Here is a 14,452-nt window from a genome sequence, read left to right as displayed (position 1 = left end):
CCATTTGTTTCAAGAGTATTTTCTATTTTCTTCTTAACTTTTTCATTGACTCACTTGTCATTCAGGAGCATTTTGTTTTATTTTCATGTGTTTGTATAGTTTCCAAAGTTCCTGTTGTTATTAATTTTTAGTTTTATTCCATTGTGGTCAGAGAAGATGCTTGATATTATTCCAGTGTTTTTTAATGTTTTATGACTTGTTATGTGTCTTAACATATCGCCTATCAATGAGAATGATACACGAACTGAGGAAAAGAACGTACCCTGTAGCTGTTCAGTGAAATGTTCTGTAAATATCTATCAGATCCAGTTGGTCAATAGTGAAGATCAAGTCTAAGGTTTCTTTGTTGATTGTCTGTCTGAAAGTTCTGTCCAATGCTAAAAATAGGTGTTGAAGTCTCCAGCTATTATTGTATTGAGACCTCTCTCTTTAGCTCTAATAATATTTCCTTTATATAGTCCAGTGTTGGGTGCATATATACTTAAAACTGTTATTTTCTCTTGCTGAATCGACCCCTTTCTCATCATATTGTGACCTTATTTGTCTCTTCTTATAGCTTTTGTCTTGAAATTCATTTTTTTCTTATATAAGCATAGCACCTCCTGCTCTTTTCTGGTTTCCATTGTCCAAGATATTCCAAAAAGATAGAATAACTTTTCCATCCCTTTATTTTTAGTTTATATGTGTCTTTACAGGTGAAGTGTGTTTCTGGTAGGCAACAGAACAATGGGCCTCGTTATTTCATCTATTCAGGTACTCTATATCTTTTGATTAGAGAGTTTAGTTAATTTACACTTAATGTTATTATTGATGAGTAAGAACGTATTTCTGCTATTTTTTTTGGTTGTTTTGTGGTCTTCTTTCTTTCTTTCATTCTTGTCTTCCTTTAATGAAGGTGATTTTCTTGGTGATAAGGTTTAGTTTCTTACTTTGAATTTTTTATGTATCTATTGTATTTTTTTGTTTTAGGTTACCATGAGGTTGCATATACTATCATATAACCCATTATTTTAACTTGATGACAACTTAACACTGTTTGCATAAACAAACAAATAAGCAAAAATAATACTAATACAAACTATATACCTTAACTTCATCTCCTTGCTTTTTAACTTTTTGTTGTTTCTGTTTATATCTTACTGTATTAAATATGTCTTAAAAATTTTTATAGTTATTATTTTTGATTGGTGCATTGTTTAGTCTTTCTACTTAGTATATGAGTAGTTTACACACCACGGTTGCAGTGTTACAATATTCTGTGTTTTTCTGCGTGCTTACTATTACCAGTGAATATTGTACCTTCAGATCATTTATTATTGCTCATTAACATCCTTTCCTTTCTGATTGAAGTACTTCCTTTAGCATTTCTTCTGGGATAGGTCTGATGTTGATGACATCCCTTAGGTTTTGTTTGTCTGGGAAAGTCTTTATTTCTCCTTCGTGTTTGAAGGATATTTTCACTGGATATACTATTATAGGACATTTTCTTCAGCATTTTAAATATAGGACATTTTCTTCAGCATTTTAAATATGTTATGCCACTCTTTCCTGGCCTGTAAGGTTTCCACTGAAAATTTTGTTGCCAGATGGATTGGAGTGCCATTGTATGTTGTTTCTTTTCTCTTGCTTTTAAAATCCGTTCTCTATCCTTGACTTTGGGGAGTTTGATTATTAAATGCCTTAAGGTAGTATTTTTTGGGTTACATCTGCTTGGTGTTTGGATATTGGTATCTTTCCCTGTGTTTGGGAAGTTCTTTGTTATTATCTTTTTGAAGAAACTTTCTACCCCATCTCTTTCTCTACCTTCTTTTTAAGACTAATGACTCTTAGATTTCCCCTTTTGAGGCTATTTTCTAAAGCCTGTGGGCATGCTTCATTGTTTTTTGTTCTTTTTTCTTTAGTCTCCTCTGACTATGTGTTTTCAAGTAGCCTGTCTTCAAGCTAATTCTTTCTTCGGATTGATCTATTCTGCTACTAAAGTAGAATTCTGAACTCCTTCTGTGTGTTATCTTGAAATTTTCATTTTCCTCAACATAGTTATTTTGAATTATCTGTCTGAATGTTCATATATCTCTGTTTCTTCAGGATTGGTCCCTGGTACCTTATTTAATTCATTTGGTGAGGTCAATTTTCATGGATGGTGTTGATGCTAGGAAATGTTCTTCAGTGTCTAGGCATTGAAGAGTTAGGTATTTATTGTAGTCTTCACTGTCTGGTCTTACATGTACCTATCCTTCTTGGGAAGGCTTTCTAAATATTTGAAAGGACTTGGGTATTTTGAGCTAAACCGTATCTGTTTTAGGGGCACCCAAAGCCCACTAACACTGCTGTTCTTACAGACTCAGTGGTCCACATTGATGGTCTTGGACAAGATCTGAGAGAATTCTCTGGATCACGAGGCAGAGACTCTTGTTTTCTTCCCTTACTTTCTCCAAAAAAACCAGAGCCTTTCTCTCTCTCTGTTCTGAGTCACCTAAAGCTGGGGGTGTAGTGGCCCTTTGGTCACTGCCTTAATGGCTGTGCTGAGTCAGACCTGAAGCTAGCACAGCACTGGGTCCCCAAGGCCTGCTGTAACCACACCCTGGCTACTGCTTGTGTTTGCTCAAGGACCTGGGGCTCTACAGTCAGCCAATGTACAAAGTCAGCCAGGCCTGTGTCCTTCCTTTCAGGGCAGCAAGCTCCCCCTGGCCCCAGGTGGGTCCATAGGTATAATTTAGGATTCAGGGATTAGAGTCAAAAACCTTAGAAGTCTAACTGCTGTTCTTGTCTACTGTGGTTGAACTGGCACTCAAACCACAAGGTGCAGTTGTCCCACTCCTCTCTCCATTTTCCAAAGACAGATGAGCCTCAAACTGCAGCCACCGCCACCCCAGGCCATGAGGAGTACTGCCAGGCTACTGCTGATGCTCCCTCAAGGCCCAAGGTCTCTTGAGTCCACTTGTCATGAATATTGCCTAGCCTGGGACTCACCCTTCAGGGCAGTGGGCTGTCCTCTGTCCCAGAAAAGGTCCAAAAATGCCATCTAAGAGTCAAGTCCTGGAATCAGGGATCTCAAGAGTCTGCTTGGTTTTTTACCCTTTTGTGGCTGTGTTGGTACCTAAGGTAAGACAAAGTCCCCTTTACTTTGTGTTCTACTTTGCTCAAGCAGAAGGACTTTTGCTCTGTAGCAGCTACGTAGTGGCTCATTTAAATTCTTAGAATTCAGCTTAACCTTGCAGGGAGGAATGAATAACTCTAAATGAAGTAATGTATGTGTAAAACTAACATAATAACCTATTAAAAATAATAATGTGTTTGGGGGTATAGAGTTTATCTGGCATTAAAAGCCAGATAACAGTAGCAAAACAATGCAAGAGAAAGAGTAAATAGATTTAATTCATTGTAAATTGCTTCCTGTGCTTTGAAGTGGTGAAGCACCAGTATATCATGTATTTATAATGACTACTGTAATCTTAGGTATAATTATTAAAAGATGATATAATAAATAAGGTAGAGAGAAAGAAATGATATAAAAAGATGATTTAATTTATTCTAAAGAAGGCAAAAAATCCAATGGGAAGAACAAAAAAAAGGAATGAATAGAATAAATAATGTTATGATAATATTATTTCAAACATATCAGAAAAATGTAAATAGGACTAAATATTTCAGTTAAAAGTGAGAATTTAAAAACTGAATATTATTTTAAAAGTAGAAGAAAAAAGAAAGACATGACATAAATAAAATGTAGTCACTAAACAAATGAAAAAGTCATATACATCAAACTTCTGCATTACCAGACTGAATTTAAAATTTTTTAATCTAAAATTATTTTAGTTATGTCTGAAGAACTTTCTTTAATATATTTTTAGTGCAGGTTTTTGATAACACATTTTCTTAAATTTGGTTTCTCTGAAAATGTTTCATTATTTCCATTATTTTTTCCAAGTCAGATATTACATTTTTGTCACAAATAATCTTTAAGACAAGTTTTCATATAGATTTACATGCATTTGTAAGAAATAATACTGAGTGATTTCAAATATCCTTTATTAATTTTCTCCACTGAAACCATCTTGCAAAACTATAATATAATTGACCTTATTATATTGAAGATACAGAAAATTTTCATCACCACAAGGATTCCCACACCTATTTCCCTTTCACCTGTTCTTCTACAGTTTTACAATTTTAGTAATGTTATATTAAGACAGAAACATTTAATGATTTTTGTTTTGGCTTTTTGAATTGTTTAACTTTCTCATAGATTCTGGTTATTAGATCTTTGTCAGATGCATAGTTTGCAAATATTTTCTCCCATTCTGTGGGTGATCTTTTCACTTTGTTGATAGTTTGGTTTGCTATATAGAAGCTCTTTAGTTTAATTAGGTCCCTTGTCAAATTTTATTTTTGTTACAATTACTTTTGAAGACTCAGTCATAAGTTCTTTGCCAATGCCAATGTCCAGAATGGTTTTCCTAGGTTTTCTTTTAGGAATTTTATAGTTTCAAGTCATACATTTAAGTCTTTAATCCACCTTGACACACACACACACACACACACACACACACATATATAAAATATATATGTTATATTATAATATATAATAAAATAATATATAATGTTATAGTATAACATATATAAAATGCATAAGTAATAGTATAATATATAATTTTAAATTTAAAATATATGTTGATGTGTGTGTGTGTGTGTATATATATATAATTAATAAAACGTAAGAAGTTAGGGCTCTAGTTTCATCTGTATATGGCTAGTCAGTTTTCTCAGCACCATTTATTGAATAGGGAGTCATTTCCCCATTGCTTGTTTTTGTTGACTTTGTCAAAGATCAGATGGTTGTAGGTGTGCAGCTTTATTTCTGGGTTCTATATCCTGTTCCATTGGTCTTTGTGTTTATCGTGTCTATTTTTTATTTTATTTTTTTTTTGAGAGGGAGTCTCATTTTATCGCCCAGGCTGGAGTGCAGTGGCATGATCTCAGCTCACTGCAACCTCTGCCTCCCAGTGATTCTCCTGCCTCAGCCTCCCAGATAGCTGGGATTACAGGCGCCCGCCACATGCCCAGCTAATTATTGTATTTTTAGTAGAGATAGGATTTCACCATGTTGGCCAGACTGGTCTCGAACTCCTGACCTCAGGTGATCCGCCCACCTTGGCTTCCCAAAGTGCTGGGATTACAGGCATGAGCCATCATGCCCGGCCTATTGTGTCTCTTTTTATACCAGTACCATGCTGTTTTGGTTATTGTAGACTTGTACTATAGCTTGACGTCTGGTCATGTGATTCCTCTGGCTTTGCTCTTTTTGCATAGGATTGCTTTGGCAATTCGTGTTATTTGGGTCCTATATTAAAGGACATGAACAGACACTTCTTAAAAGAAGATATACATGCAGTAAATAAACACATGAAAAAATGCGCAGCATCACTAATCATTAGAGGAACACAAATCAAAACCACAATGAGATACCATGTCAAACCAGTCAGAATGGGCATTATTGAAAAGTCAAAAATAACAGATATTGGTGAGGATGCAGACAAAATGAGTGTTTATACACTGTTGGTGAGAATGTAAATTAGTTCAGTTTAAAACTCTTGTGAATTGCTGGTGGAAATGTAAATGTAAAATGGTGCAGCTACTCTGGAAAATAGTATGGTGGCTTCTCCAAAATTTAAATGTAGAATTATCATGTGATCCAGCAATTCCACTTCTGACATATCTACCCAAGAGTAAAAGCAGACTCAAACAGATATTTGCACACGAATGTTCATAGTAGTTTTAGTAACAATAGACAAAAAGTGGAAAGAGCCAAATGTGCGTCCATCCACAAATGAATGGATAAACAAGTTGTGGTGTTACATAATAATATTATTCAGCTTTCAAAAGAAATGAAATTTTGACATATGTCATGACATGGATAAACCTTGAAGAAGTTATGCTAAGTCAAATAAGCCAGTTGAAAAAGACAAATACTGTATGTTTCCATTAATATGAGATATCTAGTATCATCAGATTCATAGAAACAGAAAGTAGAATGGTGGACTTGAAAGAGGGGGAATGGGAAGTTATTATTTCGTAAGTATGTTGTGTCCGAAGAACTTTCTTTAATATATTATGTATTTTTTATGTATCTTTAATATATAATGTATTTTTTCAGTTTGTGAAGATAGAATAGTTCTGGAGATGGACAATGTTGATGGTTGCACAACATCATAAATGCAATTAATAGCACTGGACTGTACTCTTAAAATTGTTAAGATGGCATATTTTATTTTACGTACATTTTTACCGCAACTAAAAAATAACTGCAAGAATGAAGGGAAAATCTAAATAAGCTCAGATGATGGAAAACTAAGAGAATCTGTTGCCAGCAGCTCTACCTGGAAAGAAGAAAGTAGTATAGACGGAAAAGAAATTACAAGAAAAGGAATATTGGAACATCAGAAAGGGAGAAAGAACAAATTACAAAGTACAAATGTAGATAAATATAAACAACTAGCTTCTTGAGTTGTCTAAATTATGGTTAAAGGTTGATACAAAAACGACAGCACTGCTGGGATGTTAAGTGTATATTTTAAATAATTTTACATCAAGTATGTATTTTAAATAATTTTCAATAGTGAAAAGTAATAGGATACAAAGGGAGATCAGGTTTCTGCAATTCACTCAAAGTGGAAACATGACTACCAGTAGGCTGTGATAGGTTGTATATATGATGTAATACCCAAAGCCACCACTGACACATTAATACCAATATCAACGCTCAGAAACACCACATTTAAACCAAAATGAATTGAAATAATGCACAAAAAGGCAGAAAAAGGAAAACAAAATAAAAAAATACAAGATTAAATGTCAGATTTAAGAGCTGGCATATTAATAACTACAGTCTATGTAACTATTCTAAATACCTCAATTAAAAAATGGGAATTGGGAGCGAGGAATAAAAAAAAACATAAACCAACTGCATCTTTTGATGGACAAAAGTTTGAAATTAGAATGCAGTCCAGTTTATTTATTCTTTTGTTGTTTGTGCTTTTGGTTTCATATTTAAGAAATTATTGTGTCATGAAACACTTCCTAATATTCATTTCTACGATGGTTTACAGCTTTTTTTTTTTTTTTTTTTTTTTTTTTTTTTGAGACGGAGTCTTGCTCTGTCACCCAGGCTGGAGTGCAGTGGTGCGATCTCGGCTCGCTGCAACCTCCGCCTCCCGGGTTCAAGCGATTCTCCTGCCTCAGCCTCCTGAATAGCTGGGACTACAGGCGCCCGCCACCACACCCAGCTAATTTTTTATATTTTTAGTAGAGACAGGTTTTCACTGTCTTAGCCAGGATGGTCTCGATTTCCTGACCTTGTGATCCAACCGCCTCGGCCTCCCAAAGTGCTGGGATTACAGGTGTGAGCTACCACGCCCGGCCAGATGGTTTACAGTTTTATATACTACGTTTAAGTTTTTGATACCTTTTGAGTTAATGCTGGTATATAGTGTAAGATAAGGATCTAACTTCATCCTTTTGCATGTTGATCCTTTCCTCCATTGAATATGCTTACCCCACTGTTAAAAATAATTGACCAAATGTTCAAGTGTTCATTTCTGGGCTCTGTATTCTCTTCCATGAAGCATACTTTTTACTGCATGTAGAATTTTAACTTGATAAATCATTTCCTTCAATCTTTGAAAAATGATGTGTCATTTCCCCATGGTCTTTTTGGTTTTCAATAAGAAATTTGATGTCTTTAGGATAGTATTCCCTGTAGAGAGGGTGTCATGTCTCTCTGACTGCTTTCAAGGTTTTTCCTTTGTCTCTATCCTATAGAAGTTTGATTTTATTGTTTCTCCATTTAGATTTCTTTGAGTTTCTCATGTTTGGGCTTCACTCAATTTCTTGAATATGTAGGTTTATATCCTTTACAAAATATGGGTAGTTTTTGCCATTATTTCTTTGAATACTGCTGAGCCCTACCTGCTTTTTTCTCTCCTTCGATAACTCTAATACTTGGATATTTTGCTTATTGTACTTTTCAGTTTTAAAATACCATTTGGTTCTTTTTTACATCTTTAATTTTTGCTAAGACTATCTCTGTTTCAAGTTATTTTATGTGTTTAAAGTAGATTTTAACTGATGAGTGAATCATTTTCATCATGGTTTTTATAAATCATTGTCAAAGAATTCTAAAGCCTCTGACTTCTTGGTGCTGGCATCTACTGATTGTCTCTTTTTATTGAAAGTTATATTTTTCTGGATCTTGGTATGATGATTGATTTTCAAGTGAGTTCTATACATTTTAGGTATTATGTTTTTATGCTTTCAGTATTATTTAAATCTTTTGTTTAGCTAGCTGCTGCTTATATCACTTCAGCAGAAAGAGGGGGCCCTGAATAATTACTGTTAAGCGGAGTTGAAAGTCTAGTTTCTAAGTACTGCTGCAATTGACACAAGTGGGGTAGGTCTCCTCCACACAGCCTAGCTAAAATAAAAGTTCTGGCTTTTCCCCAGGCCTCTAGTGATACCTGCCTTTATTGAAGGAATAGTATTGCCTAATTACTATTCCCTACATAGGCTAGAGTGCTCTTGTTATCACCGGTCTATGGAAAATGTCTTAACTCTTCACCAGGTCTCCTGTGACTCCATCCCAGATAAGAGGGGCATTGGTGCTTTGGTACCAGCAGAGGGTATGGATAACTCCAGGATCTCCTGGTGGTCTCCATTGATACCACTGGGAGGAGGCCTTGTTATTGCCTGGCTGTATTCAGTCCTGGTTCACTACTTAGCCTTCTCTGACACCACCCTGGCATGTGGTGGACATAACATGCCTGGAAAGGTTTGAACTCTACACTTCCCACATGGCCTTTGCCGACATAGGTAGAAACTTGTACTCTTATGCTTATTTATTTTGTAAGGCCAGAAACCCACACTGGACTTCTCAGCCTAGTGAGATACAATGGGTTCCAGGCTACCTCTTTGTGCTAAACTTCTGTTTCACCTGTGAGGAACAGGCAAATGCCTTGAAGAAAAAATTTGTAGAGAAAAATAAAGCTTCTAGTTACTTTCCCACTCTTCAGAATATTGGACTTCAAATCCTGGATACCTTAGTTGCTTTCAAGAGCTTTCAAACAGTTGTTACTTCAGGTTAAAAAAAAATTCTTGGCTATTGTAGTTGATATTGATAAGAGTTTTACAGTGACACAAGTTATTCAGTCATGGTCAATATTGGAAGTGGATCACACAAGATATTTAATGTAGGTGTTTGGTTACATTCTTACAATGGAATTCAAGGGTCAAAAGTAGAAAGCCCAGTAGAGTTTAACAGGTACAGGAAAATAGTATTACAAGTGGATTTAGAGGCAAAGGAAATAAATGGATGTTTGAGTTTTATTGTTATTGTAGCATAATACCACAAATGATATGGCTTAAATCAACACAGGTTTATTAACTCACAATTGTAGAAGTCAAAAGTTCAAAATATGTCAGCAGAGATGGGTTCCTTTGGAGGTTCTAGGGAAGAAAAAATTTCTTTTCTTTGTCCAGCTTCTAGAGGCTCCCCATATTTCTTGATTCATGCCTGGCTCTGAATGTCTCCAATCTCTGTGGTTGCGGTCGCATCATTTTCTCTAACTCTGACTCTCCTATTATACTGAACCCACCCAAATAATCAAGGATAATCTCTCTATTTATACACTTTCAACGTAATCACATGTATAAAGTCCCTTTTGCTATGTAAGGTAACAAATTCTTAGGTTCCAGGGATTAAGGTGTGGACATTTTTGGTGGGGGGGCATTGTTCAGTGTACCACTATGGGTTATAAGATGCCAAGAGCAGGAATCACCAAATAGGATCTAGCAGCGTGGCCTGTAGAGCAGAGAAACTGGAGCCATGAAGAGTCAGAACTGCTGCCAGAAACATCACCTTATTTAAGAGGAGAAGGAAAAATGCTATAGCTTATTTCTCATTGTACACTCTAATCTCCTGTCAGCAATGCCTGTGGTGGACTGAGCTGGAAAGCAGATAACACTGGAGCCTGAAGACTGCGTCTTGGACATGTTGACCCTGTTTAGACAGCCAAACAAGTGAACATTGAGTAATGGAAGTGAGGTCAGGCAGGCCCAGGAAACATGGCAACAAACATACTATTTTCTCTGTGTTTGGTTTTAACAAGAACAACAAAATGCATGGCTTATTTTGGTGTGAAAATTAAAATTGCTACAATAAGGGAGCATGTGTATCTTAGTGGAATTTCACTGTCTGTGAGAAAATGAAAAATTCCCATATAACAATATACCACTTTATAATGTCAAATTAGCTCATGGAGGTACACAAAACAATAATGAATGGTGTTTTGTTTCTAGTTTTTAATGGGCTTACAGTGAAATAATTGTGATGCAAAAAGCACCTTGTAAAGGTAATATTTTCAGTCCTTTAAAAAGCAATGGGCAGGGCTCGGTGGCTCATGCCTGTAATCCCAGCACTTTGGGAGGTTGAGGCGGGTGGATGACCTGAGGTCAGGAGTTCGAGACTAGCCTGGGCAACATGGCTAAACCCTGTCTCTACTAAAAATAAAATAATTAGGCAGGCATGGACGAAGACTCCTGTAATCTCAGCTACTCAGGAAGCTGAGGCAGGAGAATCGCTGGAACCAGGGAGGCAGAAGTTGCAGTGAGCTGAGATCACGCCACTGCACTTGCACTTCAGCCTGGGTGACAGAGCGAGACTCAGTCAAAAAAAAAAAATGCAATGAAGCTTTTTATTGACTGTGTGTTCATTGATTGGAATTCAGTGCATTGATTCATCTTTTAAAGGGATGAATGAGTTTACGAATTTTTAGCTGTTTTATGAAAATAAGACTCTGCTCTAGCATCACTTTTTAAATCATTGTCCAGACGTTTATATGGCCTAAGAGATTGGAAGCCTGTTATTTAGTTTCTATTTTGCTTTGTGGAAATACCCAACCCAATTCAAGTTAGAATGGACCTTTATTTAATATTACATTGCTTTGTGTGTACTGTGGTAGCCCAGTTAAAAATATATGCAAGTCACAGATGACAGCTTGTTAGGGAATTAAACACTGCTTAGGCTGAGCTTCATCTGTAAGCAGTGAAGCAGAGCTGTAGCAGAGAATGGCACCTGGAGCACATGTAAAGTCAATTGAACTAAATACACTCAAACAGCTCTGTTCAGAGGGTGAAAGGGAAAATGAATGGCCACTACTTCAGAATGGAAATGAACCTGCAATAAGAATGGAAAATGGTTTACTTTAGACAGGCAAATCTGAAGCCTAGAATTAAAATTATTAGCCTCTCTAAAGAATAGCTCTAATGCTATGTAACAGCTACAGCTTTAATCTGTTGGTTTATTGACAGCTAAATACAGAAGCAGAACTAAAACACATGGAAAAAGATAGTCACTGTATATATGTAGAATAACTGAGCCTTAATATATCATTGTATTGAATGGCCTATATTTGGAATAGTGAATTGGAAAACCACCATATTTGATATGAATATGATTTTGAAATAAAATATTTTTCTTTGAGCATGTGTTCAATTACTTATTTTGCTTATTCCATTTACCCCAAAATGTATACATTAAAATATTATGGATGTATGTATGTATGCGTGTGTGTGTGTGTTGCAGTTTTCAAGGAGAGAGCATTATTTTGATTCAAATATTGATTACCACCTGTCTTAGGCACTATGCATATTTTATCAATAATTCCTATAATAGCTCTACTGTGTAGGTGTTATATAATATTACAAATATAGAAAGCAAGGATCTGAAATTAGGTAACAATAAATGTATACTAGGGTCATGAGAACCCATGTCTGTTTGCATAGAAGAATGATTTTTAAAAGATAAAACACTCAGTTAAATGATTGGTACAAACTGTTTATTTTTATGTGTTTGAAAACAGGGCATGTTTCGCAAGATCCAAGAGTTAGATTTCTTTCTGCAAAATAAATAGTTATTTGATAATTACTTTTACTTCATTTTAAAGAAGAAATCATAACAGTTAATTATACAATTTTTAATCACACCAAACCCTAATTTACATATGTTAAAGTAATAGTAAGGAAAAGAGTAGGTTTTCCTCAATAAGTGTGTGTAGTATTTGTTCTCATCAGGATAGTATATAATAAAATGGATTATTAGGTTGATGCAAAGGTAATTGCAATTTTTGCCAATAGAAACTGTTCTCTGAGCAGGTGGCTCAAATATTTCCTTTAATTAGAGACTTACCTTTGAGGAAGAATACTTTGGTAACTCTTCTAGTTATGAAGTTTCTAGATCCAAGGATAACTTGTACCAGATTTCCAAAGGAAACTCATTTGTATAACAGAGGGAAACAAGTTTGGGGAGGAAGATAGAGAAAAAATGAGAAGGAAAGTGGCAGAGCGCTGTTAAAATAGGTGAAATGACTTCATCCTGTTAGTACACAATTTTCAGGAAAATATGTGATAATTGAGGATTTTTTATATACATGGAGTTCTGATCAAAACCAGTGAAAGAATTATCGTTGTGGATAAATGAGCATACAATAAAAAATATGGATGGACAGAAGGGAAAACAAACTCTAGAAAACAGAATGTTGAAAATGGTTCACTCTAGACTTTATGAGATATTGTCAACTTATTAGCCATTGGCTTTATGGTTGTTCATAATCTCAGCTATATTTCAAGCTTTTTAAATTACTTTATTTTACATTACATACTAAACATTTTAAAACCTGTCCTTACGAAAATGTGCCTTACTCTTTTATGCATATTTCCTTTGTACAAGAAGCTTATTCTTTCTGAAAACTTTCTCTCATCCCATTCCTTGTGTCTCCACCAGAATAACTTTTAATTATCATTCTAATTTCAAATTTTCCAAAATGTCAAGTTATTGACAATTTCATATTGTGGGATACTGTTATGTTCAGCACATACTATCTAGTATATGATTATTTAAATATATTTATTTTTAAGTTGACAGATGAGACTGTATATATTAGTCACCTACAGCTAGATGTCTTAACATATATATGCATTGTGTAATGGTTCAATCTACCTAATTAACAAATATGATACTTCACATATTTGTCATTTTTATATTGAGAACATTTAACATTCACTCTCTTAGCATTTTTCTTTTTCTTTTTGTTTCAGAGACTGGTTCTCACTTTGCTGAGCTGTCTGGAGTGCAGTGGTGTTGATCACAGCTCACTGCCACCTCAAATTCCTGGGCTTAAGGGATTCTCCTACCTCAGCATTTTTCAAGAATACAGTATATCCTCATTAACTATACTCACTATGCTGTACAACAGATCTTTGAAAGTTATTCTTCCCATTTACAATAATACTATGTATTTTGATTAATATCTTACCAACCTACCCTTACCCATCTGCCCCAGCCTCTGGTAATTGCCATTCTACTCCATTTCTGAGATAACTTTATTAGATTCTACAGATGAATGAGATTATGTGGTGTTTGTCTGTTTCTGACTTATTTTAGTTAGCAGAATGTCCTCCAGGTTCATCCATTTGTCAAAAATGAAAAGATTTCCTTCTTTTCTATGGCTGTAAAGTATTCCATCATATATATACAGCACAATTTCTTTATCCATGCATCTTTTGATGGACACTTAGGTTGATGCTATATCTTGTGAATAATACTGTAATAAATGGTATCTTTGACATGGTGATTTCATTTTCTTTGGCTATATACCCAGGAGTGAGACTGCTAGATCATAAGATAGTTCAGTGTTTAATTTTGGGGGGAACCTCTATACTGTTTTCTATAATGGCTGTACTAATTTATATTCCTACCAACAGTATATAAGAGTTTCCTGTTGGGGCATGGTGGCTCACGCTTGTAATTCTGGCACTTGTGGGAGGCTGAGGCAGGTGGATCACGAGGTCAGGAGATCGAGACCATCCTGGCTAACATGGTGAAACCCCGTCTCTACTAAAAATACAAAAAATTAGCCAGGCGTGGTGGTGGGTGCCTGTAGTCCCAGCTACTCGGGAGGCTGAGGCAGGAGAATGGCGTGAACCCACAAGGCGGAGCTTGCAGTGAGCCGAGATCGCGCCACTGCGCCACTGCACTCCAGCCTGGGTGACAGAGCAAGACTCCGTCTCAAAAAAAAAAAAAAAAAAAAAGTTTCCTTTTTCTCTACATCCTTGACAACATTTATTATTTTTTTCTTTTTCTTTTCATTTTTTGGGTAACAGTCACTTCAACAGATGTGAGGTCATAGCTCATTATAGTTTATATTTCCCTGACAATTAGTGATATGTAGTCATTAGTCATTTGTATGTCTTCTTTTGAGAAATATCTACTCAGATCCTTTGCCCATTTTCCAATTGGGTTATTATTTTTTCTTTCTTTGCTATTGAGTGGTTCCTAGTTCTTTATATATTTGAGATACTAAAATATTAAATATATAGCTTCTAAGGATTTGTTTTCCATTTC

General features: G+C 35.4%; 1 long non-coding RNA gene across 1 annotated transcript in view; it reads left to right on the top strand.

Annotated features, from left to right (window-relative positions):
• LOC105371671 (uncharacterized) overlaps positions 1-13,552 on the top strand; it is a 147,500-nt gene extending 133,948 nt beyond the window's left edge. The window contains exon 3 of the long non-coding RNA XR_922391.1: positions 13,147-13,552. This is a non-coding gene — a long non-coding RNA (uncharacterized LOC105371671). The remainder of the gene's footprint in view (positions 1-13,146) is intronic.
• Positions 13,553-14,452: the final 900 nt, after the last annotated feature.

The sequence above is a fragment of the Homo sapiens genome, chromosome 1, assembly GCF_000001405.40.
Source record: "Homo sapiens chromosome 1, GRCh38.p14 Primary Assembly".
Lineage (NCBI taxonomy): Eukaryota > Metazoa > Chordata > Mammalia > Primates > Hominidae > Homo > Homo sapiens.
Note: the sequence above shows the minus strand (reverse complement) of the source record. Positions and strands in the feature narration are given on the sequence as shown.